General features: G+C 45.2%; 2 long non-coding RNA genes across 8 annotated transcripts in view, besides 5 other annotated features; one reads left to right on the top strand and one right to left on the bottom strand.

The window, feature by feature from the left end:
• The window catches only part of LOC105373480 (uncharacterized), a 39,564-nt gene extending 28,185 nt beyond the window's left edge, over positions 1–11,379 (bottom strand). For 4 of the 7 annotated variants that reach the window (XR_007086101.1, XR_007086095.1, XR_922709.4 and 1 more), the window contains exons 1-2: positions 7,952–9,978; positions 1,008–1,130 (exon numbers count right to left, since the gene is read on the bottom strand). This is a non-coding gene — a long non-coding RNA (uncharacterized LOC105373480). Of the gene's footprint in view, positions 1–1,007; positions 1,131–7,951; positions 9,979–10,913 lie in introns of those variants that run through there. The other 3 variants (XR_007086128.1, XR_007086122.1, XR_007086107.1) reach the window with 3 other exon arrangements.
• Positions 11,380–19,657: 8,278 nt separating this feature from the next.
• LOC105373358 (uncharacterized) overlaps positions 19,658–26,318 on the top strand; it is a 34,222-nt gene continuing 27,561 nt past the window's right edge. The window contains exon 1 of the long non-coding RNA XR_001739247.2: positions 19,658–19,844. This is a non-coding gene — a long non-coding RNA (uncharacterized LOC105373358). The remainder of the gene's footprint in view (positions 19,845–26,318) is intronic.
• Positions 20,230–21,027: an enhancer, noted in NCBI's record as "NANOG-H3K27ac-H3K4me1 hESC enhancer chr2:729837-730634 (GRCh37/hg19 assembly coordinates)". NCBI's record gives its function as "activates a minimal SCP1, AML or CMV promoter by ChIP-STARR-seq in naive H9 embryonic stem cells {active_cell/tissue: H9 hESC(naive)}" and the evidence as "EXISTENCE:reporter gene assay evidence [ECO:0000049][PMID:30033119]".
• Positions 21,028–21,823: an enhancer, noted in NCBI's record as "OCT4-NANOG-H3K27ac-H3K4me1 hESC enhancer chr2:729041-729836 (GRCh37/hg19 assembly coordinates)". NCBI's record gives its function as "activates a minimal SCP1, AML or CMV promoter by ChIP-STARR-seq in naive H9 embryonic stem cells {active_cell/tissue: H9 hESC(naive)}" and the evidence as "EXISTENCE:reporter gene assay evidence [ECO:0000049][PMID:30033119]".
• Positions 22,622–23,418: an enhancer, noted in NCBI's record as "H3K27ac-H3K4me1 hESC enhancer chr2:727446-728242 (GRCh37/hg19 assembly coordinates)". NCBI's record gives its function as "activates a minimal SCP1, AML or CMV promoter by ChIP-STARR-seq in naive H9 embryonic stem cells {active_cell/tissue: H9 hESC(naive)}" and the evidence as "EXISTENCE:reporter gene assay evidence [ECO:0000049][PMID:30033119]".
• Positions 23,419–24,216: an enhancer, noted in NCBI's record as "H3K27ac hESC enhancer chr2:726648-727445 (GRCh37/hg19 assembly coordinates)". NCBI's record gives its function as "activates a minimal SCP1, AML or CMV promoter by ChIP-STARR-seq in naive H9 embryonic stem cells {active_cell/tissue: H9 hESC(naive)}" and the evidence as "EXISTENCE:reporter gene assay evidence [ECO:0000049][PMID:30033119]".
• Positions 25,278–25,779: an enhancer, noted in NCBI's record as "H3K4me1 hESC enhancer chr2:725085-725586 (GRCh37/hg19 assembly coordinates)". NCBI's record gives its function as "activates a minimal SCP1, AML or CMV promoter by ChIP-STARR-seq in primed H9 embryonic stem cells {active_cell/tissue: H9 hESC(primed)}" and the evidence as "EXISTENCE:reporter gene assay evidence [ECO:0000049][PMID:30033119]".

Raw genomic sequence — 26,318 nt, 5'->3', positions numbered from 1 at the left:
TTGCAAAATAATTCACAAATACACATTTAAGATAAAAAACAAAACTGGCCGGGCATGGTGGCTCAGGCCCGTAATCTCAGGGCTTTTGGAGGCTGAAGGGAGAGGATTGCTTGAGGCCAGGAGTTCAAGATCAGCCTGGGCAACATAGCAAGGCACTGTCTCTACAAAACGTATATAAAAAATTATCCAGCCAGGCGTGGTGGCTCACACTTGTAATCCCAGCACTTTGGGAGGCAGAGGCAGGTGGATCACGAGGTCAGGAGTTCAAGACCAGCCTGGCCAAGATGGTGAAACCCTGTCTCTACAAAAATTAGTTGGGTGTGGTGGCGGGCACCTGTAATCCCAGCTACTCAGGAAGCTGAGGCAGGAGAATCACTTGAACCTGGGATGGTGGAGACTGGAGTGAGCTGAGATCGTGCCACTGTATTCTAGCCTGGGCATCAGAGCAGGACTCTGTCTCAGAAAAAGAAAAAAAAGAATTAGCCAAGTGTGGTGATGTGTACTTGTAGTCTCAGCTACTCAGGAAGCTGAAATGGGAATATCTTTTCAGCCCAAGAGTTTGAGGCTGCAGAGAGCTGCTATCACGCCACTGCACTCCAGTCTGGGCAACAGAGAAAGGCCCTGTCTCAAAAATAAAATAAAATAAAATAAAATAAACAGGTGACAACTCAGTTTTAAACATTTAAGCCAATGAAAACCCTAATTAATAGCTATTTTATAACTGGAATTAACTAAAGTTCTACTGCACTGATCTAGATGTCAGCAATACCTGAGTTAAAGCCCATTTCTAGGACTCAGGTAATATTAGTCTATGAATTTAATTTATTCACCTGTAAACTAGAAATAATGTGTCAGACCACACGGGGTTTTTATGATCTAAGTAGATGACAGACATAAAAGCAACAAGCATAATGTCTCACCCGAAGTAGAATTCAATATTATTGTTTGTTTTTTCTTTATCCTTCCTCTGAATTTAGGCATAAGTAGATAAAGCACAAGAAAATTACCTGAGCTTTGAAACTGCAAACAGAAGCCACCATTTCAGAGCATCCCCTTCTGCACCCAGCACTTCCTTCATCAGCTGCACCTCCCTCACTGATGTGGGCGAGCACCCTGAGCCTTTCAACACCCTGCATGAAAAATCCATTACTTCACTAAGTCATATTTGCCAAGGCAAGGAAGAGTTGGCCCAAAATATTTCCTCCTGAGAGAGGACTTGTCCCACCCACATCAGATGTAAGACACCCATCTCATTCTGTTTTGTTCCTTTCAAAGGATTTGCTATTATTTGTAACTATGTTTTAGATAAAGGTATTTATTCTTCTTTCCCCCCAGTGCGAGGACAGGGAAAGTGTGATCTGGACCCTGGTGTCACCAGCCCGGTGTCTGGAGCACACGAGATAATAAATGTTGAAATCATGAGTGAACAAATACAATGTATAAAATTTCAGTAAATACTGTTTATTTTTTAAATTTTGCCATAATCTATACAATAAATATTAACCAATGATGGATCTTTTCTTTACAGAAGGTTACCAAACCAGTTTGCATTTGTTGACTTCGTTAGTGGAGGCTCCTCCATAACGAGCTCGTTAATTTTAGGCCACCTTGCGTGGCTTTGGTTGACACTCAGTGTGTGACAGCTAATGTGATGCTCCCTGAAAAGTATATCGCAGAGTCTCGCAGAATTACGAGGAAGGCAACGGAGCTCCGCAGCCCTGCGTTTAACCTTTATTTATTTATCCATCATAAAATGTGGGGCTTCTCCAGTTCCAGACAATATCTGAAAACTAGAGTAACAAAGATTAAGGGGACACACACAGCCTCTATGCAGACACGCTGACATACGGAGCTCAGCCCTCTATGCAGACACACTGAAATATGAAGACACCCACAGGCCTCTATGCAGACACGCTGACATACGGAGCTCGGCCCTCTATGCAGACACACTGAAATATGAAGACACCCACAGGCCTCTATGCAGACACGCTGAAATATAGAAACACACACAGCTCTCCATGCGGACATGCTGAAATACAGAGCACAGCCCTCTATGCAGACACACTGAAATATAGTCATTGGCAACTAAAATACAGTGTGAACACATCCAACAAAATGGGCGCACAGGGAGTTATGACAGGAACTTATGACAGCAAACGGCACATGGACCCACAGGTCTGATGATCTCTGGCCATCCCAAAGGTTGGGCCACTCCCTACCATATGCACCTCTGCTGAAGCAAGTTGAGAACTGACTCGCCGGGAGGGAGTCGCTGGCCAACGTGAGGCCAGCCTTGTGCACAGAGCGCGCATGGAAATGGTGCGGGTTCGCCGTCTCGGGAGTTGGATACGACTGCCATCTTTTTATAAATGAGAATTGCAGGATCATCGACCATTGTGTACTCACACATTTAAAGATGTGTAAGTCTTAAATAACCCTTTGGGAATATTAAGGAGCTGTCACAGGGGTTCTCAATTTTGGATGTGCATAAAAACACTTCTGTAGTGATTTTAAATGAAAGTGCCTGGTCTCAACTAACACCTGCTGAACCAGAATTGCCACGGTTTGGGTTTGAGAATCTGTTTTTTTGTTTTTGCTTTTATAAGTTTCAGAAGCAAAAGTGAGGGTCGCTGGTTTGCAGGTGATTGAAGGGTTTGGCCACCTGTGGGCCATGATGTCATTGTTGTTGGTGGTGGTAATGGTGAGGTTGGGGCTGTGATGTCGTTGTCATTGGTGGTAGTGATGGTGAGGTCAGGGCTGTGATGTCATTGTCATTGGTGGTGATGGTGAGGTCGGGGCTGTGATGTCGTTGTCATTGGTGGTGATGGTGAGGTCGGGGATGTTATGTCATTGTCATTGGTGGTGGTGATGGTGAGGTCGGGGCTGTAGCATCGTCATTGGTGGTGGTGATGGTGAGGTCGGGGCTGTGATGTCATTGTCATTGGTGGTGGTGATGGTGAGGTCAGGGCTGTAGTGTTGTCATTGGTGGTGGTGATGGTGAGGTCAGGGCTGTGATGTCGTTGTTGGTGGTGGTGATGGTGAGGTCAGGGCTGTAGTGTTGTCATTGGTGGTGGTGATGGTGAGGTCGGGGCTGTGATGTCGTTGTCGGTGGTGGTGGTGATGGTGAGGTCACTGTAGGAAAGCCCAGCAGAATGGCCCTGAAGCGTGGGCTCCGTCCCCGATATGCCTTCCCATGATCTCTTTTCCTAAGGAAAAATCCGAATAAATGAAGGGTGAAGGCAGCCTTGAAAATGAAGCAAATTATAAAGGTAAACTATAGGCGAAAACTTCAGGGGAGTCTAAACGTTTTATCTCGATGATTAATGGGTGCCTTGGGTAGCATTCTCTACATGTCTTAGGGCATCAGGAAACAGAACTGCCCTATTTTTTCTCAGAGATTTATTCATTCAATGAACATATATTAAGTACCAAGTATTTCCAGGTCTTATTCCAGTGATTGGAATTCAATAATACACTTACTGACAAATTCCCCTGTGTCTGTAGAACTTACAATCTGATGGGTAATAAAACAGGTCAGTAACAATAAAAATTGCAATAAATAAGTGGAGTAGGAATTAAATGATAAAAGGTACTATGTATGTAAGAATAAGGGATCCTGGACACAGTTGTGAGCAAGGCTGCGAGGCTAAGTGTGCAGTCAGGGTGGGCATCCCTGTGGAGGTGACGTCTGAGCCTCCATTACACTCAGATGTGGACATGAGCTGCCTCGGAAAGGAACATTCCAGAGAAAGGCACAGCTAGGGTAAGGCTCTGACCTGTGTCCTGCATGCTCAGTGAAGCTGTTTGGTTCAAGTGGAATGAAAATAAGGAGAATAAAATTTTTTTTAAGTATCAGAATTTGCTCAGATGCCATCTCTACAGGTCATGACCCAGCTCTGGGAGAGCCTTGGCAATCTGCTTTAACTAGGGAAATGCTGCAGGGTTTGAGTAGAGAAGGGGTCTGGCCTGACACAGCAGATATCTGGCCAGTGTTGAGAAGGGAGTCTGCACATTCGTCAGGAGTCCAGATGGAGATTATTGTGACGCAGGCCAGAATGGCTGAGGTCACGAGGGGTGGCTGAAGTTTGGGTACATCTGAAAGGTAGAGGCAATACGATGTCCTGATGGATTAGAGCTGAGGTTGAGAAAACAGATGAGTTAATGACTACGGCATCGCTCCTTTCTCCTGAGGATCTGAAGGTGTTGTCCGCGGAGCTGCTGTGACGACAACACCCCACATTGTTCCCCATACACTCAGCCTCCCTTGCTGTGGGTGAGGCCACGTGGCCATTTCTGGCCGATAGACTGCAAGGGGAAAAGCTATGCCACTTCTACCAAAGCAGGTAGAACAGAGCACATCTTCACCTTTGTGTCCTGCCCTATGTGAGGACCTCAGAATCCTCACACAGGGAGCGTGCAGCTGCTGCTGGTGGAGCCCAGCAGACAGACCCCGAGTGACTGTGGATTCATGAGTTTCTGTCATTAAACAATGTAATTTTTTAATGTGAAAAATAAATTGTGTGTTTTTATAATTAAGAAACAAATTTTCCAAAACGCAAAACATAACATTTGTTGGTGGTGGGGCGGGGGGAGGGGGGTGAAAAAAATATTAAAACCAAAATGATGCTGTGGTTTTCTGTGGCTGAACCTTTTTGTTCCACCGGTAGTTTTCATGCATTGATTAGTTTTTAAGATTTCTGAAGGATGCTCTAACTCATGAAGCATACAAGAAACCCCATGATAAAAGAAGTCAGGAATATTAAAGTTAAAATCTCTAAATAATGTGATAATATGATGATGAAAAAATTAAATTCATAAAAACTGACCCAGGATTTACACAGATATAGAATTATCAAATACATTTATAAATTACTATACCTGAATTAGGTATGTCCAAAAGTTAAGTAGAGACACTCATGATATATAAAAGACTCAAACCCAACTTCTAGAGGAAAAAAGCTACAACGTTTAAAATGAAAACTACAGTGGATGGGAGGAACAACAGATTACACATTGCAGAAGCATATAGGCATGAAGTTGGAGACACAGCAAAAGAAACTAACCACAATGAAACACAAAGTACACACAGTCAATGTACATAGAAAAAAAAGATGCTATAGGAGAGAGAAACAGAAAGAAAGAAAAGAGCATCATGATCTGTGGACAAGTCCAAGCAACCTGATATATTGGTAATTGTCATCCATAAAGATGGAGAAAGATGCTGAAAGCAGATGCTTGGAGAAAAATGTTCCAAGTTACCAAAACAGAGACCATATAGCCAAGACAATCCTAAGCAAAAAGAACAAAGCTGGAGGCATCATGCTACCAGACTTCAAACTATACTACAAGGCTACAGTAACCAAAACAGCATGGTACTGGTACCAAAACAGATATATAGACCAATGGAATAGAACAGAGGCCTCAGAAATAACACCACACATCTACAGCCATCTGATCTTTGATAAACCTGACAAAAACAAGCAATGGAGAAAGGATCCCCTATTTAATAAATGGTGTTGGGAAAACTGGCTAGCCATATGTGGAAAACTGAAACTGGACCCCTTCCTTACACCTTATACAAAAATTAACTCAAGGTGGATTAAAGATTTAAGCCTAAGACCTAAAACCATAAAAACCTTAGAAGAAAACCTAGGCAATACCACTTAGGACAGAGTCATGGACAAAGACTTCATGACTACAACACCAAAAGCAATTGCAATAAAAGCCAAAATTGACCAATGGGATCTAATTAAACTAAAGAGCTTCTGCACAGCAAAAGAAACTATCATCACAGTGAACAGGTAACCTACAGAATGGGAGAAAATTTTTGCAATCTATCCATCTGACAAAGGGCCAATATCCAGAACCTACAAGGAACTTAAACAAATTTACAAGAAAAAATCAAACAACCCCATCAAAAAGTGGGCAAAGGATATGAACAGACACTTTTCAAAAGAAGACATTTATGCAGCCAACAAACATATGAAAAAAAGCTCATCACTGGTCATTAGAGAAATGCAAATCAAAACCACAATGAGACACCATCTCATGCCAGTTAGAATGGCGATCATTAAAAAGTCAGGAAACAACAGATGCTGGAGAGGATGTGGAGAAATAGGAACACTTTTACACTGTTGGTGGGAGTGTAAATTAAAAATCCACAATGGTTGTGTAAGTTCCACACAAGGAGGCGAGAAGGGAAGAGTGCAACCATGATCTTCCCATCCCGGAGGTGAGAAGGGAAGAGGGCGACCATGACCCTCCCATCCGGGAGGGAATTCATCGAAGGTCACCTGATGGCTGCCCATGGAAAGTCATAGATCCCAATATGGTTACACATGGAAGGAAAAGGTTACTGATAAGTCAACAAAAATGACACAATAAAACAATTAAAACGTTCAATCCAAAAGAATGCGGAAAAGAGGAAAGAATCATGAAGAACAACTGAAGTAAATAGAAAACAAAGGAAATGATATTTGTGGATGAAATTTGCGATGGAAAAAATCAAACCCTCTAAGTGATTAAATGAAAATGTCTAAACATGCCAATCATGAAGCAGATTGTCAAACTGGTTAAAAATGCTGTCATGGCATATCCCACAGTTGTTACTTAGTATATATTCTGTGATTCTGTGATTCTTTCAAATGTCACCCTTTGGATGCTTAGTTTACCAATCTCCAGTCTTTGTCTTTTTTTTTTTTTTGGCATCAGCATTTAATGCTTAAAATTATACATTTTACTTGAAATAATGCTTTTGCTAAATATAACAGCTTTTGATACATAGTATTTTCATTGCTAGACAAATCTTACATCTTAAAATTTTCCATTGTGTCTATCTTATGATTGATTAACGTGTAGAAGAGTTTATTTTAATTGCCAAATAGGAGGTTTCATTTATCTTTAGTTATTGTCCTTTAAGTACACTTTTTCAGAAACATCCTTTTAATCTTGTATTATAGCAAAATACATAGTGAATTTTGTATAGTATTCTTAAGGATTTTAGAAAATCAATTCTCTAATTTGGATTTGTATGCCCAATAAATCAAAGTTTTAATTGCCTTGTTTAAGTCTTGTATTTTTGACTATCTTTTATTATCAAAATTGAGGGATATTTAAATCTCCCCAATGTGACAATTGATTAATATAACCATGGAATTCTATCAATCTGTGGGCTTTAAACATACTGAGGTGATATTATTAGATGAGAAAATATTTAGAATTGTTTATCATTCCTAGTGGGTCTCATGTTTACTAGTATGTACTGGCATTCTTTATCTATAATAATGCTTTTTGTCTACCTCTATTTTCTGTCTTTTCTTTTCAAATAATTATGTTATGTGCCAAATTGTTCATTATAGTGGCTGCATCATTTTGCATTCTTGCCAGCAGTGTAAGAGAGATCTGGTTTATCCACATTCTCACCAGGACTTATGTGTCTTTCTTTTTATTTGAGCTGTTTTAACAAGCATACAGTGACACCCCACTATGACTTTAATTTGCATTTTCTTAGTGGGTAACAATGCAGTCATTTCATGTGTTCGCCATTCCCGTATTAATTGTGTTGGAATATCTCTCCAAATCTTTTGCCCATTTTCTAGTTAGATTGTTATATTTTACTGTTGCATCTTGAGAGTTCTTTATATATTTCACAGATAAGCCCTCCTTCAGATGTGGTATATGCAAGTATTTTCCCCCATCTGTAGATCTTATTTTTGTTCTTTTAATAAGGCATTTTACAGAACAAATATTTCTAATTTTGGTGGAGTCTAATTTATAGGCTTATTGTTTTATAGATTATAGTTGTGATGTGTAGTCTAAGGACTATTCCTTTACTTCTAAGTACTGACTTTCTTTAAAGTTAGCTACATAAAATTGTTTCCCAGAAAACACCTCTTTTCTCCTTCAGTCACTGTCCTGTGTTTCATGATACACCTCTGGATTAAATATTTACCTGGTTCCAAAGATGGCAGAAATCCTAACGATGTAATTTCAAAAGGGGATATCGGCCCTAAGACATACTTTTTTTGCATTTTGGGAATACCAAAGAAAGAAAACATAAAATGGGAACTGCTTTTAGCAATCCATCTAGTGAATCACTTTACTACTCAAAATTTAAAAAAACTCAAGATGGAGCCTTGCTGGAGCTTCACCTCCACAGGCGAGGGCCACACACTTCTCCTGTGATGCTTTCCATCTGCCTCAACAATCTCCTCTCTTCTCTCTATTTAGAGTGCTCTTCTGTTCTAAGTTCAGTTCTCAGTGCTTCTGAAATTAAACGAGTCAAACTGAATATTCACTTTCAAACAGTGAATATGTTGAAATGGACACAGGCCAGAACTCAGATGTCCATTCTTGAAACCACACAGAGGCTGCATTCCCACTAAGCGATGGAGAACCCGGGCTTGGGGGCTGTGCCCTGTGTGCATCACAAACCCCGTCCGCTTCACGTAGTGTAAACTTGGAAACGGTCTCCAAGACGGATTACAATTTACTCACCACTCCCTCCACAGACTCCCACCTTGCCACATTCTATTTTCTGTATCCCCTGTGTGCATTTTGTTAGACTTTTGAGCATGTTCTCAAAATAAAAGTTACTTCTCTTACATTTTAGCCCCGTTCTACTGAGTTGGCAAAATGACCCAGGGTTCCTGTGACGGTGACGAACCCTGACATGCAGGTGAAACCCGAACACACTGGAAAACTCCGGAAACGCTTCCAATACTGCTCCTTGCAAACGCCTGCCTCAACACTTACTGGGAAAACACTCTGGTTGACCTAATTCTCACGTTCCCTTTCTCAAATCAAAATAGGAAGAAGAATGATCTAGAGAGAAAATAAAGATGTGCTCTCGACCCAGCCATCCGCCGTGGGAGTCGCCACCGCACCCAGCAAGTCACTATTGACTCACAATTAAATAGGACTACTTAGAATCTCACTAGATTCCACAGCAGGTACAGCAGTAAGAAAGTGTGCGTCGTAAAAACACCAGGGGCCCCTTCCTCAACTCAGAGTGAGGGCCCACAAATTTAAACGTCTTCTCTATCACCTGGTAATTTCGGTACCTTGTGTAAATCCACTTTTCCCTAGACTGCCAATGATTCTTTCCAAATCTGACAGAAACCATTAAGACATAATTTTACAAAACTTTTCCAATGCACCAAGCTGAACCCTCTCCTCCTTTGGCGGGGAAGGAAAAAACAAAACAAAAACCTCCAGGTCCAGTTTCACATAAACCAAGCAATGGAAAAATTGTGTTTAGGTTTTCAGGTCCTCAATTTAATTCAATGCATTTAAATTGCTATTTTACTCAGTGAATATTTTGTAATTTCTTCCTCACTTGTATCACATCAATATGGGAAGCATATTTTTAGACAAAATATAGAGAATTTCTAACAGAATTTTGAACAACTTTCAGTGCAAGAAGCAGTCTGGGAGAATTCCCAAAACATTATGGTGATTTCTGAGAAGAATAGAAACTTGGATAATTCCATAATTAAAGACCCTGTATCTTTTCTCATTGTACCCACCCACACGTACACTGGCATATGTCCCTCCACACATATGCATACATAATGCATGCATGATGATTATACACGTGTGGGTGCATGCCGTATGTCTAGAAATTGTATAAAATTTAAATCTGCTCCACAGGGTTGCTGACTTAAATAAACACTGTGCAATTCTTGAGGAATAAAACGGTGGCCGCTTTTCTCCGCCTGTTTGATAGACTTACAGTTTCTGGTCTGGGCTGACCTACAACAGTACGTTTTGCCCACTGCCTTTCAGTCGTGATCAATTTTCTCCAGTTACTGGTGCGTTGATTTTCCATATCTTTTGTAACAAATGACCAGACATTGGGCAGCTTGAACATCTCAAATGTATTTTCTCACAGCTCTGGAGGCCAGAAGTCCGACGTCCTCCTCACTGGGATGAAGTCGGGGTGTAGGCAGGGCCGCGCCCGCTCGCCGGGCTCTAAGGGAAGATCCTGGCTGCCTCTCCAGCTCTCCTGGCTGGGCCCCGCCCCCTCGCCAGGCTCTGAGGGAAGATCCTGGCTGCCACTCCAGCCCTCCTGGCTGGGCCACGCCCCCTCGCTGGGCTCTAACGGAAGATCTTCGCTGCCTCTCCAGCTCTCCTGGCTGGGCCGCGCCCCCTCGCCAGGCTCTGAGGGAAGATCCTCGCTGCCTCTCCAGCTCTCCTGGCTGGGCCACGCCCCCTCGCCACGCTCTTAGGGAAGATCCTCGCTGCCTCTCCAGCCCTCCTGGCTGGGCCACACCCCCTCGCTGGGCTCTAACGGAAGATCTTCGCTGCCTCTCCAGCTCTCCTGGCTGGGCCGCGCCCCCTAGATAGGCTCTGAGGGAAGATCCTCGCTGCCTCTCCAGCTCTCCTGGCTGGGCCGCGCCCCCTCGCCAGGCTCTGAGGGAAGATCCTGGCTGCCTCTCCAGCTCTCCTGGCTGGGCCCCGCCCCCTCCCCAGGCTCTGAGGGAAGATCTTCACTGCCTCTCCCGCCCTCCTGGCTGGGCCACGCCCCCTCGCCAGGCTCTGAGGGAACATCCTCGCTGCCTCTCCAGCTCTCCTGGCTGGGCCGCCCTCACTCGCCAGGCTCTGAGGGAAGATCCTGGCTGCCTCTCCAGCTCTCCTGGCTGGGCCGCGCTCCCTCGCTAGGCTCTGAGGGAAGATCCTCCGGGCCTCTCCAGCTCTCCTGGCTGGGCCGCGCCCCCTCGCCAGGCTCTGAGGGAAGATCTTCACTGCCTCTCCCGCCCTCCTGGCTGGGCCACGCCCCCTCGCCAGGCTCTGAGGGAACATCCTCGCTGCCTCTCCAGCTCTCCTGGCTGGGCCGCGCCCCCTCGCTAGGCTCTGAGGGAAGATCCTGGCTGCCTTCCTGGCTGGGCCGCGCCCCCTCACTAGGCTCTAACCCAAGATCCTCGCTGCCTCTCCAGCTTTCCTGGTGCCCGCAGTGCTTGGCTTGCGGCTGGTTCACTCCGATCTCTGCCTCCCTCTGACGAGGCCCTCTGCGATTCCAGTGGACCCCCCAGGACAGTCAGCTCCCATCTTCAGGCCCTTCGCTGAGCCCACCTGCAGGGTCCGTGGAAGGGACATTCACAGGCTCCGCCGACTGCAACATGGGTATCTGTAGGAGGCCATTATTTAGTCTACAATAGGGCCACTAACTACTCTCTAGTTTACATTCAAAATTTTTCTTACTTACATGTTTTTTTTTTCTGTGACTGCTGCATGGGGACATGAAAGTAATGAATAAATAAAAAGCTCATTCCTCCATGCACCTGTCACTTTGGGTCCTGTGACTCCAGCTCCCCACTCCCTGGCCCCCCATTCCCCTGCCTCCTGCACAGCAATGACGCACGTGTATGTCACAGGCACTAAGAGGACACATTTCAAATCTATGGCCCCAAAACAGCAAGTATGTGAGGCGCAGTGTGTGATTGGCTTGAGTTAATCCTTCTACACTGAAAACATACGTCATAGCATCGCATTGTGCTCCATAAATATCATACAATTATGATTTGTTAATTTAAAATAATGTAAATTATAAGCAAAACATAATTAGAAGCCTAGCGGTAAAGAAAATCCAGGTCTAAATGGCTTTCATGAAAAATTGTTCTAAGTGTGTAAAAGAAATAGGGCTCAGCTCACATCTCATCTTCCCAGGATAGGAAAAGAGGAAACGATTCTCGCCTAATGTTTTGGGGAGAGAATAGCATGGATGCTGAAACCTGGAGTTCACTACAAGAAAGAATTATCATTTAATTTTTCCCCAAAAAGTTGTTTTTTGGGGGAAATTTTCCAAAATTTCCCAAGAAATGTAAAAATAGCTAAACAGTTTAACAAATCACCATACAGTGAAATTTTAAATCAGAATAACACACTGTGATCAGGCTGTGTATTCCGGAAAATAAGGACTGTGTAATGACCAAAGATCAACAGAATCACTGATGTCTGCAAAAATAGCAGAGAGGAAAATCCAAGGTCTGTCCCTTCACAGAATCACTGAAAAAACTGAGCAAAACGGTCAGAATCAACTTTGTCAGAACTCTAGAAACACCGAAGGTTTATAGTAACCAAGCAAATGCCTGAGAGATTCACCACAGACGTAGGAGGCGTCTGTAAAAACACCTGCCCTGCCCCAGCCCTGAGGCCAGGCAGCAAACTTGATGTTTCTATTACTCTTGAAATATGCAGGATGTTTACAGACTGCACAAAAGAAAATAGAAATTATTAGTAAAACCTGACATTTAAAAACAATGGTTCAGTTGATGATAAGATAGAAATAAATTAATTCTATACTATTTCCATTATTTCTAATTATATGTGTGAATATATAGTACAGTTAAATTGTAAATCTTTGATCCAAGACATACAGCATTTAAACACAGCAGATTTCCTTTTCTGATATTTCAACACATTCCTAAATTGATACAGATAAATTGGTTACAAATTAATGACTACTTTAGAAAATCACCAACTAGTGCTATAACACATGAATAGATTTTAAAGTAACAAAATACAAAACAAGTAATTCATATCGGGGTAGAATACATGAAATTATCTAGATAATTCAAATATTAGAAAATTGGACATCTCATCTACAGAGTATACTTGCATTTCTATAACTAAGTTCATACATTAGCTAATTTTCACATAGTATTTACATATAGTATTTTTAAAATGTCTTAACCATTTTTTCTTTCTCTGGTCTAAAGGGAGTATATCACGAATTATATCTTCAGTTAACCTCAAATAAAATTTCTAAAGCTCCTAAAACAAATCTAAACAGAAATAACAGGAATGGTTTTAAATAGAATAAGACTTTTACTTAAGACATTTTTTAAGAATGTGGAAAGATAAGGCCCAGCACAGTGGCTCACGTCTGTAATCCCAGCTACTTGGGAGGCTGAGGCGAGTGGATTACTTGAGGTTGGGAGTTTGAGACCAGCCTGACCAACATGGAGAAACCCTGTCTCTTCTAAAAATAAAAAATTAGCCAGGCATGGTGGCACATGCCTGTAATTCCAGCTACGTGGAAGTCTGAGGCAGGAGAATCGCTTGAACTCGGGCGGCAGAGGTTGCGTTTGAGCCAAGATTGCACCATTGCACACCTGCCTGGGCTATAAGTTGATAGATATGAATATTTAACAGCATGAAATTTCATTTCTCCATAATGATATATAAAAACAACAATTCAAGAACTCCAAAAGGATTGATAATGGAACTAGATAAATTGATTCTACGATTTGTATGTGAGAGTAAAGGATCAAAACCTGCCCCGGCGTATCTCAGAAGAACAAGGTTAGGAAACTACTTTGCCAGGTATCAAGTAATAGAAATCACTATTGCCTAGTCACAGCACGAGGGGAAACAAACAGATTAGAGAACACAGAATAGAACACTAGGAATTGAGCATCTCATACATTCAAACAATGTAGCGCAGACATATTATTGTATATCAGTGAGTGAAAGAGGTTCCTGCAGTGAACAGTGCTGGAACGCCTGGTTATCAATATTGAAAAAATTAACTTGGATTCCTACATCTTATCTTGCATTTATTTATTCCACATATAATAGGCATTTTAATTTGAAAGGAAACCTAAAATATCTGCAAGAAAGTATGAAAATATCTTTATGAGCTGAGGATAGAAACATATTTCTTCAAATAAAAAAGCATGAGTCATGCATTAAGAGCTTGCTGACTTAGCACATTAAAAATAGAAAATTCTATTAATCAGAAAACACCATTAGAAGAAATATTTGAGCTGCAGATTGAAGAAGATAAGTGCATGACATATAACTGACAAAGCATTACTGTTGAGAATATAAAAATAATTACTGGGAGTTAATCTGGAATAGAAACACAGCACTGTGTGTGTACACCCATATACACACAAATATACAGACATGCATGTGCATACATTCCAGATACAAGGAAACAGAGGCCAATAAGTGTTTGAAAAGATGTTCAATGACATTGCAACCAGAAAAATGCCAACTAAAACCAAAAAAGCTATTTCCCCCGCATCAGACATTAAACCTCCTGCCCACAGTGTGCATTGGCGAGGAAGTGGAGGAAAGGGAGCCTCAAGCTCTCCTGGGGCAGGGACTCTGGGAAGGTGTGATTCGGTTATTTACTAAAGTGGACAGGTGCATCTCCTAAGACTCAAGAAACTCACTTGCAGATACAAACCCTAGACACACCCTTGCATGTGTGCCCCAGACATGGCTCAGGAATGTTTACAGCTGCGCTGCTTTTAATAATCCAGTGTTGGGGAGGCCTTCAATCACTTGTAGAATGGATAACATCTTGGGTATTTTATGCTAAATAATGTTATAAACACATAAAAATAGAGAACTATACTTTTGTGCCTCAACATAAACAGCAAAATGAGCAATACATTGTTTAAGGATGAATAGGTAGGTAGATGATTGATAGATAGATAGATAGATAGATAGATAATCGATAAATGATAGATGATGGCTAGATAGATAATAAATGAATAAATAGATGATTAATAGATATATACCATATAGATAAATGATAGATGGATAAATAGGTGAAAGAAAGATTGATAGATGATAGGTAAATAATAAATAGAAAGCTAGATGATAAATAAATCCATAGAAAGATGATGGATAGATATTAAGATAGATAGGTAGACAGAAAGACAGTAAATTATCCTGAGTTCTCTGGAGCTCAGCGGATTTGCTGACTTTGTATTGGGGGTGCAATCCCAAAAAAGTAAGATGAGGGAAGTGGAAGTGAGGCCCCTGGAGTTTGAAAGTGCAAACCAGAACAGTTCAGGGGAAGTGAGGCCCCTGGAGGTGGAAAGTGCAAACCAGAACAGGTCGCTGAGCCCCAGCTCTGCAGCTGATGAGACGGGATGAACACGTGGTCTCATGGGGGAATCCAGGGGAGTCACTGGTGGGGAGGCGTGAAACAAGCTCCCTGATTCACCTCCCAGGGGCCCACTCCTGCCTCTCCTGCAGTTCCAAGCCATGAGGTCAACCCCTCAGGAACCAAGGGGGAATCCAGCCCAGGGCCTCTTTTGGAAAAGACAAAGACATGCCAGGTTGTGGGTCATTAAAGCCATGGTTTCCCTCAGCTGCTAGCAATGACTGCAGGGCAAAGACTCACAGGCTCAGGTGGGATTTTAAGCAGAAGCTTCCTAACTCTCCCAGTGAGAGGAATGTGTCCAATTCACACAGTCTCCAGCACAAATGACCAACGGTTCTGTTATCATAAAACGATTCTGCTTGCCATAAATATTTACAATGTGTTGTGCACATTTTACAAAAGGTCGTGTTTGCCAACCCCCTGTCTTGTCTTAGTCCACATTCTGTTGCTATGACTGAATGCTGCAGTTTGGGTAATTTATACAGAATTGAGGTACCTTCACACTCTGGAGGCCGAGACATCTGAGAGGGAGATGCCAGCATCTTGGGAGGGCCTTCCTGCTGTGCCATGGCCTGGCAGGAGCCATGAGATGTGCCCTTCCTCACTTCCAGAGCCACCAGCCCCTTCGGGGGGGCCCCACCTTGATGACCTCATGGAGTCCCAGTTCCCTCTCAAAGGCCCCACCTCCAAATATCATTAACATGTGACTTAGGGGTTAAATTTCTAACACAAAATTCAGGGAACACAGTGAAATCAAAGCACATCCCCAGGCAGCTGCTACAAAAGTCAGAGCATCCTGGGCCCAGCTGGGCAGAGAGTCCAGCACTTGGAGCTCCAGGTTGTGGATGGGAATAAGAAAACAGTCCTCACACACAAAAGAAAGCTCATTCCAAGAATCAAAAGACAAAAAAATTGCAACAATCACAGAAAATATAATGCAGAATAAGGGTGTTGATATAAGACCTTACATACATGCTGTGTTACTGCTGTCAATAATGTAATCAATTTTCCTTTTACAACTAAAACATCACGGCATATACAAACCGATTCTAACTATACTCTTGGTTCATTTTCTGTTGCTTATAACAGAATATTTGAAGCTGGGTAATTTATTTAAAAAGGAATTTGTTTCTTACACCTACGGAGGCTGAGGAGTCCAAGGTTGGGGTCTGCATGTATTGAGGAACTGTGTGCTGATGGAGGCTTTGCCAAGTCAGAGGCGGCGCGGGAATTGCATGGTCACGGGCTGAATGCTAAGTGCTCACTCAGGTCTCTCTTCCTCCTCCTGGAAAGCCACCAGTCCCTCTTCCATGGCAACCCATTAGTCCATGAGTCCATGTGTGGCAGGACAAGCCACAGACAAAACCCCTCAGACACCGAGTTAAAGAAGGAAGGGTTTTATTTGGCTGGGAGCTTTGGCAAGACTCACGTCTCCAACAACCGAGCTCCCTGAGTGAGCAATTCCTGTCCCTTTTAGGGGCTTACAACACTAAGGGAGGCCGCATGAGAGGGTCATGATCAGTTGAGCAAGGAGAGGGTACAGGACTGGGGGCTGCATGCACTGGTAATCAGAACAGAACAGAACAGAACAGAACAGGACAGGGATTTTCACAATGCTTTTCCATACAATGTCTGGAATCTATAGATAACATAACCGATTAGGTCAGGGGTCGATCTTTAACCAGGCCCAGGGCGCAGCGCCGGGCTGTCTGTGTGTGGATTTCATTTCTGCCTTTTAGTTTTTACTTCTTTCTTTGGAGGCAGAAACTAGGCATAAGACAATATGGGGGGTGGTCTCCTCCCTTACATGGATGGAGGAATCCATTCATGAGCTTCCAGGATGCAGTCACCTCTTAAAGTCCTCCCTCAATGCTGCCATGCTGGGGATTAAGTTTCCACGAGATCTTTGGAGTGGACAGACATTCAAACCATGGCCACGCTACAGTGAAAATTTAAAACCAGCAGACCATCCATCTGCATTCGTTTTCTATGGTTGCTGTGACAAATCACCACACACTGTGATTTGCAGCAACACAAATCTATCATCTTTCTGCTCAGTAGGTTGGAAGCCTGATGCAGCTCCTGGGGGCTAAAGTCCAGCACTGTGAAGCTGCGTTCCCTTCTGGGCTCTGGGCAGAAGCTGCTTCTCAGGGTTTCCAGCTTCCCAAGGCGTTCACCATCCTGGGCTCCCGCCTCTCCTCCAGCTCCAGCAGCCCCTGAGCGCCCCTACGCTCCCCGTGTGGCTGCAGGGTCCTGTGGCTGCGCTGGGTCCATGTGGACAACCCAGTGTGGTCTCCCCTACATCAAGCATGTTGAGGAGCAACCTCCACTCCCTCCATCCGCAGCCTCAGCTCCTCTGCACAAACCCACACAAACACAGCTGCCAACCATCCAGAGAAGGGCATGTGTGGGGTGGCAATGATCTGCCTGCCCCATTGTCTTTGAGGTTATTTTAGGGGTTGGAACAATAAATCACAAATAATATGAATCTATGTACTGATTTCGCTACCTCTGTGTACTGTCTGCATCACTCTGGGTTTTCTGGCTAAACAAAGCCACTGTGAACATCACAACAGTCATGGGGTTTTCGTAGAAGGAATATGGGTTCAGGGGGCGTGGGAGAAGCGGGTGAGGGGGTGGCTGAGGCTCCGAGATTTGCTCCCAAGGATCACCCATGTGGGAGCTCTGGGAGCCTCTGAGGAACCCACCACTGGCCTCAAGGCATGAGGCAGACCAGAAGGTCCCGGATGCCCAGTTGGCTGTGGCCCCGCCTGGCGCCCTCCCTCCATGTCCCCGCAAGCCCCTTCCCTGAGCAAGGGCAGCAGAGAGTCCCTGGAGAGCAGCTCCTGGTGCCCCCTGTGCCGTGACTTCCCCGCGCCGTGACTCCCCCGTGCCGTGACTCCCCCCGTGCCGTGACTCCCCCCGTGCCGTGACCCCCCCCGTGCCGTGACCCCCCCCGTGCCGTGACTCCCCCCGTGCCGTGACCCCCCCCGTGCCGTGACTCCCCCCGTGCCGTGACCCCCCCGTGCCGTGACCCCCCCTGTGCCGTGACTCCCCCTGTGCCGTGACTCCCCCCGGGCCGTGACCCCCCCGGGCCGTGACCCCCCCGGGCCGTGACTCCCCCTGTGCCGTGACTCCCCCCGTGCCGTGACCCCCCCCGTGCCGTGACTCCCCCCGTGCCGTGACTCCCCCGTGCCGTGACCCCCCCGTGCCGTGACTCCCCCCGTGCCGTGACTCCCCCCGTGCCGTGACTCCCCCCGTGCCGTGACTCCCCCCGGGCCGTGACCCCCCCGGGCCGTGACTCCCCCTGTGCCGTGACTCCCCCCGTGCCGTGATTCCCCCCGTGCCGTGACTCCCCCCGTGCCGTGACTCCCCCGTGCCGTGACCCCCCCGTGCCGTGACTCCCCCCGTGCCGTGACCCCCCCGGGCCGTGACTCCCCCTGTGCCGTGACTCCCCCCGTGCCGTGATTCCCCCCGTGCCGTGACTCCCCCCGTACCGTGACTCCCCCCGTGCCGTGACTCCCCCGTGCCGTGACCCCCCCGTGCCGTGACTCCCCCCGTGCCGTGACTCCCCCCGTGCCGTGACCCCCCCTGTGCCGTGACTCCCCCTGTGCCGTGACTCCCCCCGGGCCGTGACCCCCCCGGGCCGTGACTCCCCCTGTGCCGTGACTCCCCCCGTGCCGTGATTCCCCCCGTGCCGTGACTCCCCCCGTGCCGTGACTCCCCCGTGCCGTGACCCCCCCGTGCCGTGACTCCCCCCGTGCCGTGACTCCCCCCGTGCCGTGACTCCCCCCGTGCCGTGACTCCCCCCGTACCGTGACTCCCCCCGTGCCGTGACTCCCCCTGTGCCGTGATTCCCCCTGTGCCGTGACCCCCCCCCCGTGCCGTGACTCCCCCCCGTGCCGTGACTCCCCCCGTGCCGTGACTCCCCCTGTGCCATGATTCCAGTCCACAGCCAAAACCCAGAGCGCTCAGAAAACACCTAACCACAGCCTGTGGGGGCCCCTGTGTGAAGGACACCATAGCTGACATACTCTCACCATCACAGGACAAGCTCCCTGGGCCCCAGCCTGGGTGGCCAGGGCTCCGGAACTCCACCAAACCCCAGCAGGGTCACCCGACCTGGGCCCCCCAGACCTCCTATTCTCAGGACATCAACCCCAGAGCACCCCCGGCTGTAAATGCTTTCTGCCCCTTAGGGAAGTGAATCCTCCCGGCCTCCGCACTGGGCCCAGGACTGCTTTTCTCAAGGACCTGGGAGCCGTCCCCCAAATTCTTATTGTGAACCCAAAATATCGAAGACAGGTCTCAACGAATTTGGAAAGGTTACTTTGCCAAGTTAAGGACAGGCCCGTGACAGCCTCGGGAGGTCCTGAGGACGTGTGCCCAAGGTGGCCGGGCACAGCTCAGTTTTACACGTTAGGGAGACGTGAGGCATCGACCCATATGTGTAAGAGGAACATTGGTTCGGTCCGGACAACTCCACAAGGGGAGGGGGACATTCCGCAAGGGATTTCCTAGTGGGCAAATTGTGAGAGGTATGTAGGGTTTTTTTAAATCTTTGCAGCTATTTTATTTAGAAATAAAATGGGAAGCAGGTTTGCCTGACGCAGTTTCCAGCTTGACTTACCTTTGCTGAGTGATTTTGGGGTCCGGAAACGTATGTTCCGTCCATCATGAAGGGCCCCAGCCTATCCCATCACAGTGAGGGGTGGGGCATGACCTGGAGCCGCAGTTGGCAACGGGAGTGGCTTTAGCACCCCGACCACCCTAACATCTTGCACTGTCTGGGGGCTCCCCGGGCTCAGCAACACCCACCTCTGTGGCTGGGAGCTGGGCTCAGCCACATCCCTGCAACTTCTCCGGGACACCGCCATCCAGCTACGCCAAGGCCTGACGGCGGCTCCATGTTTCCTGCCAATGGCGGTGCTATTAATTTGTGAGTAAAAATGCGTCATCGTACGTGTCTAAAACTTGATGGGGAGATTCTAGTCACATAAATTCTATTATTTGGAAGAAATATTATATAATTAAAGATGGACTATTCACTTTTAAAACTTCCTCGGAGAAATCAGTGATCAGAATTCCACAGTTGAATAATTAAAGCTGAAGACTAATATTGGAATGATGGATTTGTACTGAGACATAAAACCATATATCCACCAGATTCAAATACCCAAAAAGAATACACTTAAGAACTATTTTACAGTTGATAGATCCATATATTTTGCAAATTGAATGGCTGTAGAAATTTTTATGCAAATATAAATTGCAAAGTTGAAGAAGTTCATTTCTAGGGGAAGTCAGGAACTTTCTGAGGAAACTGCTTCAGACACCTTCCACGGCTATGACTCTATAATGTGAAAATAATGGCCGTTGATGGAAAATCCGTGCCTTTAATGACAGGCAATTTTATGTCTGTGCTGCCTTTTGCAAAGGTGGTCCTTTTCTCTTTAGAGTTCTTTAGGTTCTTTTTTTTTTTTTTTTTTTTTTTTGAGACACAGTCTCGCTCTGTCGCCCAGGCTGGAGCGCAGTGGCGTGATCTCAGCAAGCTCCGCCTCCCGGGTTCACGCCATTCTCCTGCCTCAGCCTCCCGAGTAGCTGGGAATACAGGTGCCGGCCACAACGCCTCGCTAATTTTTTTTGTGTGTGTTTTTTTTAGTAGAGACGGGGTTTCACCGTGTTAGCCAGGATGGTCTCGATCTCCTGACCTCGTGATCCGCCTGCCTCGGCTTCCCAAAGTGCTGGGATTACAGGCGTGAGCCACTGCGCCCGGCCTAGAGTTCTTTAGTTTCTTTAGATTTCTTTATGTTCTTATAGAGTAAGCAGAATTGTATACCAAATCCAATAACAGATAACAATTTTTTTAAATGCCTTCAAATTAGGTTTCATAGCAGTTTGAGGAAAAAATAATTTCTCTTTAAAACTGAACAGACATAGAAAAAAGAAAATTAAGCCTCTTGTTTCCCTGCCTGAAAGTGTGGGTCAAATTCTTCTGTTTATCTGTCCACGCTCCCCACAGAGTTCAGTTAACTGACATTTTAAGTATACACTTGTAAAATAGGGTGTAATTTTTGTGAGGAGCAGGCTTTTACATCCGTGGTAGTTTCTCCTGCTGTGGATGGTGAGGAGCCCCCTGCACACCTCAAAGGGCCTGAGTCAATGCAAAGACCGGCCCTCGCTTCCTTCCTCCAGGAAAGAGAAAATCATCGCCTTTGCAAAAGACAACAGAGACAGAAAATTGCCTGTCATTAAATCCACGGTTTTCCCATCAACGGCCATTATTTTCACATTATGTAATTATAGGCTTGGAAGGGATCTGAAGAAGTCTCCTCAGAAGGTCCCTGATTGTCCAAAGAAATGAACTTCAATTTAACAACTCTGCCCCCGTCGATTGTCATTATAAGAACCTATTTACATCCCTATTCACATGCAAATTTAACAATCCAATAGCATCTTTCTCTTGCAGATACAGAAAGCTCACATTTGCCATCACTCCCCTTTACGAATCGCTTCACCCTCTGACCAGATCCCCTCACAGTCACTTTCTAGAACTCATTCTGGTGCCAGCTATCTTTATGGACAGAAAACTACATTTTGAAATCAAATCAAGTGTGTTCTATTTTCCATCCAAATAAATCTGGAGCACTTTCTGCCTCTTTGGATGCTCTCTTAAAACTACCTTTTAGCTATGCCATAGCACACAAATTCAAAATGCCTTCAAATGTTGAATCATCTTTTATTGTGTTTTTGTGTTGTTAAGTTGATGAATCCTTACGAACGTAAAATAAAAAGGCAATGGATACAGTTGAAGGAGAGTTTGGGTTCTTTGTGAGGAGTGAAGGTTCTGAGTTATCTGACATCTCCCTTTGACGCTTTGCACGAGTACTTTCCTACGCGTAATAAATATAGACGAACCCACGGCAAACTTTGCCAGACTCTGCCATCCTGAAGACGTAGTCCCAAAGAGGAAACCACACTCCCTCTCGGGCTTTCACCCAGGCTTGGCCCACAAACCTTACAGACGGCCACAAAAAACACACGCACATGCACACACATATACAGACATACACACACGCACAATTCCCTTGCACACACGCACACACAGGTATATACACACAGGTATATACACACATGCACACACAGGTATATACACACACGTACACACAGGTGTATATACACATGCACACACAGGTATATATACACACACAGGTATATACACACACGCACACATAGGTATACACACACACACAGGTATATACAAACACACAGGTATATACACACATGCCCACACAGGTATATACACACATGCACACACAGGTATATACACACATGCACACACAGGTATATACACACACATACACACAGATATATATACACGTACACACAGGTATATACACACATGCCCACACAGGTATATACACACATGCACACACAGGTACAGACATGCACAAACACACACATGTACACACATACACTCAAATGCACTACACCACTGCACACATGCACACACGGGCATATATACAATGCACACACATACACACATGCACACAAAGGCACAGACATGCATAAACACTTCCATACACATGTACACATATGCACACACATAAACATGTGCACTACACCCCTGCACACATGCACACACATATACAGACATGCACACAAGCACACACAGGTAAATACACATGCACACACATACACACATTCACTGCATCCCTACACCCCTGCACACACAGGTATATATACACAGGCATACACATGTACAGACATGCACACAGGCATCATATGTACAGACATGCACAAGCACTCCCACACACATGTACACACATGCACACACATACACACATACACTACACCCCTGCACACATGCACACAGAGATATATACACCTGGGAAGGGGCTGGGGGACAGACTCTGTCCAGCAGGGGTGTGTGGGCTCCTGGAGCAAGCCCTGGAGTTGGGCCCAGGCCGTCTGAGCTCACACTCTGAGTTGACCCCACAGGACTGAGAGCAGCCTGGACCCTGCCTTCTCTGGCCCTAAAGACAGAAGTGTTTCTACCATGAGATCATTGTGAGGTACAAATAAAATGGTGAATGTTCTTTAATTCCCATAGAGCATTTTGGTTCCTAAGAACAAGAGCTAGCCGTCACCGTTGATCACTGTGTGCTGTTTGCGGGGTCTTGCTTTTCACACCAGCATCCTCAGGAGATAGGTACCATGTCTCCCCGCTTATTGGATAGAAAACTGAGGCATGCGAAAGAAACGTCACTGTTCAAAGATCTATGATTAATAAAGCGGCAAATCAATCCTTAAATCCATGTGGATGTGCAATGCCAATGCCCATGTTCTTATTCTTAGCATAACCTAAAAAATGAGAGCTTATAATAAAGCACATACAATTTTAAACTTAGATGGCAGCTGAGTGTCTTTGGAAAACATATAAGTAATTACTGGAAGCAGATCACATCAATATAGAAATTACGATGTTAAAATTCTCCAGAGAATCCCCTTGACACCAAGGCTGGCACCTGTCCTGTTGAGGCTCTTGGAACACATCAGTGGTTACATTTTTGTTACGACTTTCACTTTATGGTTACAGATGCACACGAAAGAACTGTTTTCGTTCCTTGAGACCATGAGATTAGCCTTGTCATTCTAACGTTATATCCCCATTATGATGCCATTCTAAACTAGATCTGGAAATTATTTCTTCATTATTTACAGAGACAGATTTCCCCACCTATTTGAAACTGCAACCGAAACTTCTCAGTGCCTTCAGCAATTTCTATCTCGGTACTTGGTGAACAGGGGGAGGTTAAGACACCTTTTCTGCTCCTACTCATTTATTCAAAAGCCAGTATTCACAGTTGATTTATGGGATCATGGGCAGCTCTTGGTCAATGTAACAGGGAACAGTCCAAAGGTGAACTGAACCCATGAAATCTGAGAGCCCATCAGAAAAGACTCACTGGACAAATAAGTAAGTAAAACACAAAAATATTGCCAACCTGAACCCAACATGATGAAAGGCAGGAGAGTAACCCTGGGAGCTGCCACCCACAAGGAAGCGTCTCCTTCTCCATCCACTCCCAACCATCCTGCATCAGCCACAATCATACTGACAAACTCACATGACCTGAGAACTGTCACTGTGTGGTTCATCAGCATCAAATAGTTCTTCTTGAGGGATCCATTCAAAGTCCTGGGCCTCCCTGACACCCACGCCCCAAGCCGGTTCTCATCAGAGGCAGAACCACACCCAGGTGAGGCCTGAACACCCGACCCGTGATGTGTTGCACCTTCCAAGCCAGCAAATCCCACTCAAGGTGCAAACGTCCTCCCTTCCTCCATGAACCATTTATGAACTCCAAATTGAGCCACGTATCTCCTCCCTATGGGCTCTTATTTAAGCATTCACTGCTGTTTATTATACTTTTTTCAGGATTTTACAGAATTTAAAAACAAAACAAAACATGGACTTAAGTAGAACCGGTGCTGATGAAGCAACTTTAATACCCATGACGCCAGTGACTGTGAACTAAGCCTCTGGAGTTTCAGGGCTCACAGACATTTCAACCTGAGTAAATTCAGACCTAGCCACACCCTCCACCCACGCCTGTGCCCCAGGCCAGAGCTCACATCCCAGTGACCCGCAGGTCCCTCTGCTGTAATCAGAAAGTCCCCATAGCTCCCTTTAACTTTGTTTTAAAGCACCAGTGACTGGCATGTCCATCAGCTATAATCTAAAAGTCTCCATAGCTCCCTTTAACTTTGTTTTAAAGCACCAGTGACTGGCATGTCCATCAGCTATAATCTAAAAGTCTCCATAGCTCCCTTTAACTTTGTTTTAAAGCACCAGTGACTGGCATGTCCATCAGCTATAATCTAAAAGTCTCCATAGCTCCCTTTAACTTTGTTTTAAAGCATTTTTGTCCATTCCAGCAGCAGACCCTCCTAACTCTTCTTCCCAGATGCATCACAAATACATCCTTACTGTGCCACTGCCCCAATCCAAGCTCAGGAGACCCATCTCCTCCCTGGACTGCGACACTCTCTTTCTCTCTGTCCTCCCTATTTCCACGATTAGCCCCTGCAACCCAAAGCAACAGCAATGATTTTCAAGCACAGATCAATTCATGATTCATCCACGCAATCTCCAGAGAAAGCTCCAATTTCCTCTGTTATCTGTGGCTGGGTTGAGGTCAAGCCTGGCTCCTGCCTCCACTTCCCTATCTCAGCCCCGCCCTGGCCTCACTGCCTCCACCAGCGCCCACATGATCTGAGCTCAAGCCTGGCTCCTGCCTCCACTTCTCCCATCTCAGCCCCACCCTGGCCTCACTGCCTCCTCCAGTGCCCACATGATCTGAGCTCAAGCCTGGCTCCTACCTCCACTTCTCCCATCTCAGCCCCACCCTGGCCTCACTGCCTCCTCCAGCGCCCACATGATCTGAGCTTGTCCATGCTTCCAGCTCATTGTACCCCTGTGTTTTGGAGTATCTGTGGCTTCTCAGCTTTTCTGAGTTAAACATGTGGCTTTGCAGAGACCTGACTGCCCTATCCAAAAGGACCCATGTTCTCACCCACTCCAGTTCTTTTCTTCTGCATAAGATTTACTCCAATTTTAAAAAACTTTATCTTCATTGTTACTTTCTGTTTTGTTCTATCTCTTCTGACAGGCTGCATATTCAATGAGAGTACAGTGTTTACTTTTGTAAACAGAGTTCCTGGCCCAGAACAGGTTAACAGATATTCATCAAAAGAAAGCAAGAGCCAGGCCTCACTCACTAAGCTAAAAGGAAATGTATAAAACAAACCAGAATAAAGTGGAAGGAATCACTCTACCCAATTTCAAAACATTATATTGCTGCAGCAGAAATCAAAATTCTGCAGTACTTGTGGCAGGATGGACACATAGGTCAATTGGACATCTATAGGTGAAAAAAAAAAGAAAGAAAAAAAAGAAAAGGAAAGAAAAGAAAAAGGAGAGAAAGAAGATCAACCTAAACCCCACACCTAATATATCAACTGTAAATGGATCAAGACTTAAATTTAAATCTGAAAACCATACAGCCTTTTAAAAACAACACAGGAGAGAATCTCTGGGATCTGGGTCCTGGCAGAGTTCTTAGACCTGACACCAGAAGCAGGATTCCTAAGATAAGAAATTAATGAACTGGATCTCCTCAAAATTAAACATTTTGCTCTGCAAAAGCCCATATAAAGAGGATTAAAAGACAGGATACAGACTGGGGGAAAATATATTTGCAAAGAACAAAAAAGGAGCAGAACTTTAACATAGAAAGAATTCTCACAACTCAGCAGTTTAGAAAAATGCAATCAGAAACTGGGAAAAAAAGCATTAACAGACATTTCACTGAGGAGGATACACAGATGCCAAGGAGGGTGTGGAAAG

The sequence above is a fragment of the Homo sapiens genome, chromosome 2 (assembly GCF_000001405.40).
Source record: "Homo sapiens chromosome 2, GRCh38.p14 Primary Assembly".
Taxonomy (NCBI): Eukaryota; Metazoa; Chordata; class Mammalia; order Primates; family Hominidae; genus Homo; species Homo sapiens.
This window is presented reverse-complemented; position numbering and strand designations above follow the sequence as displayed.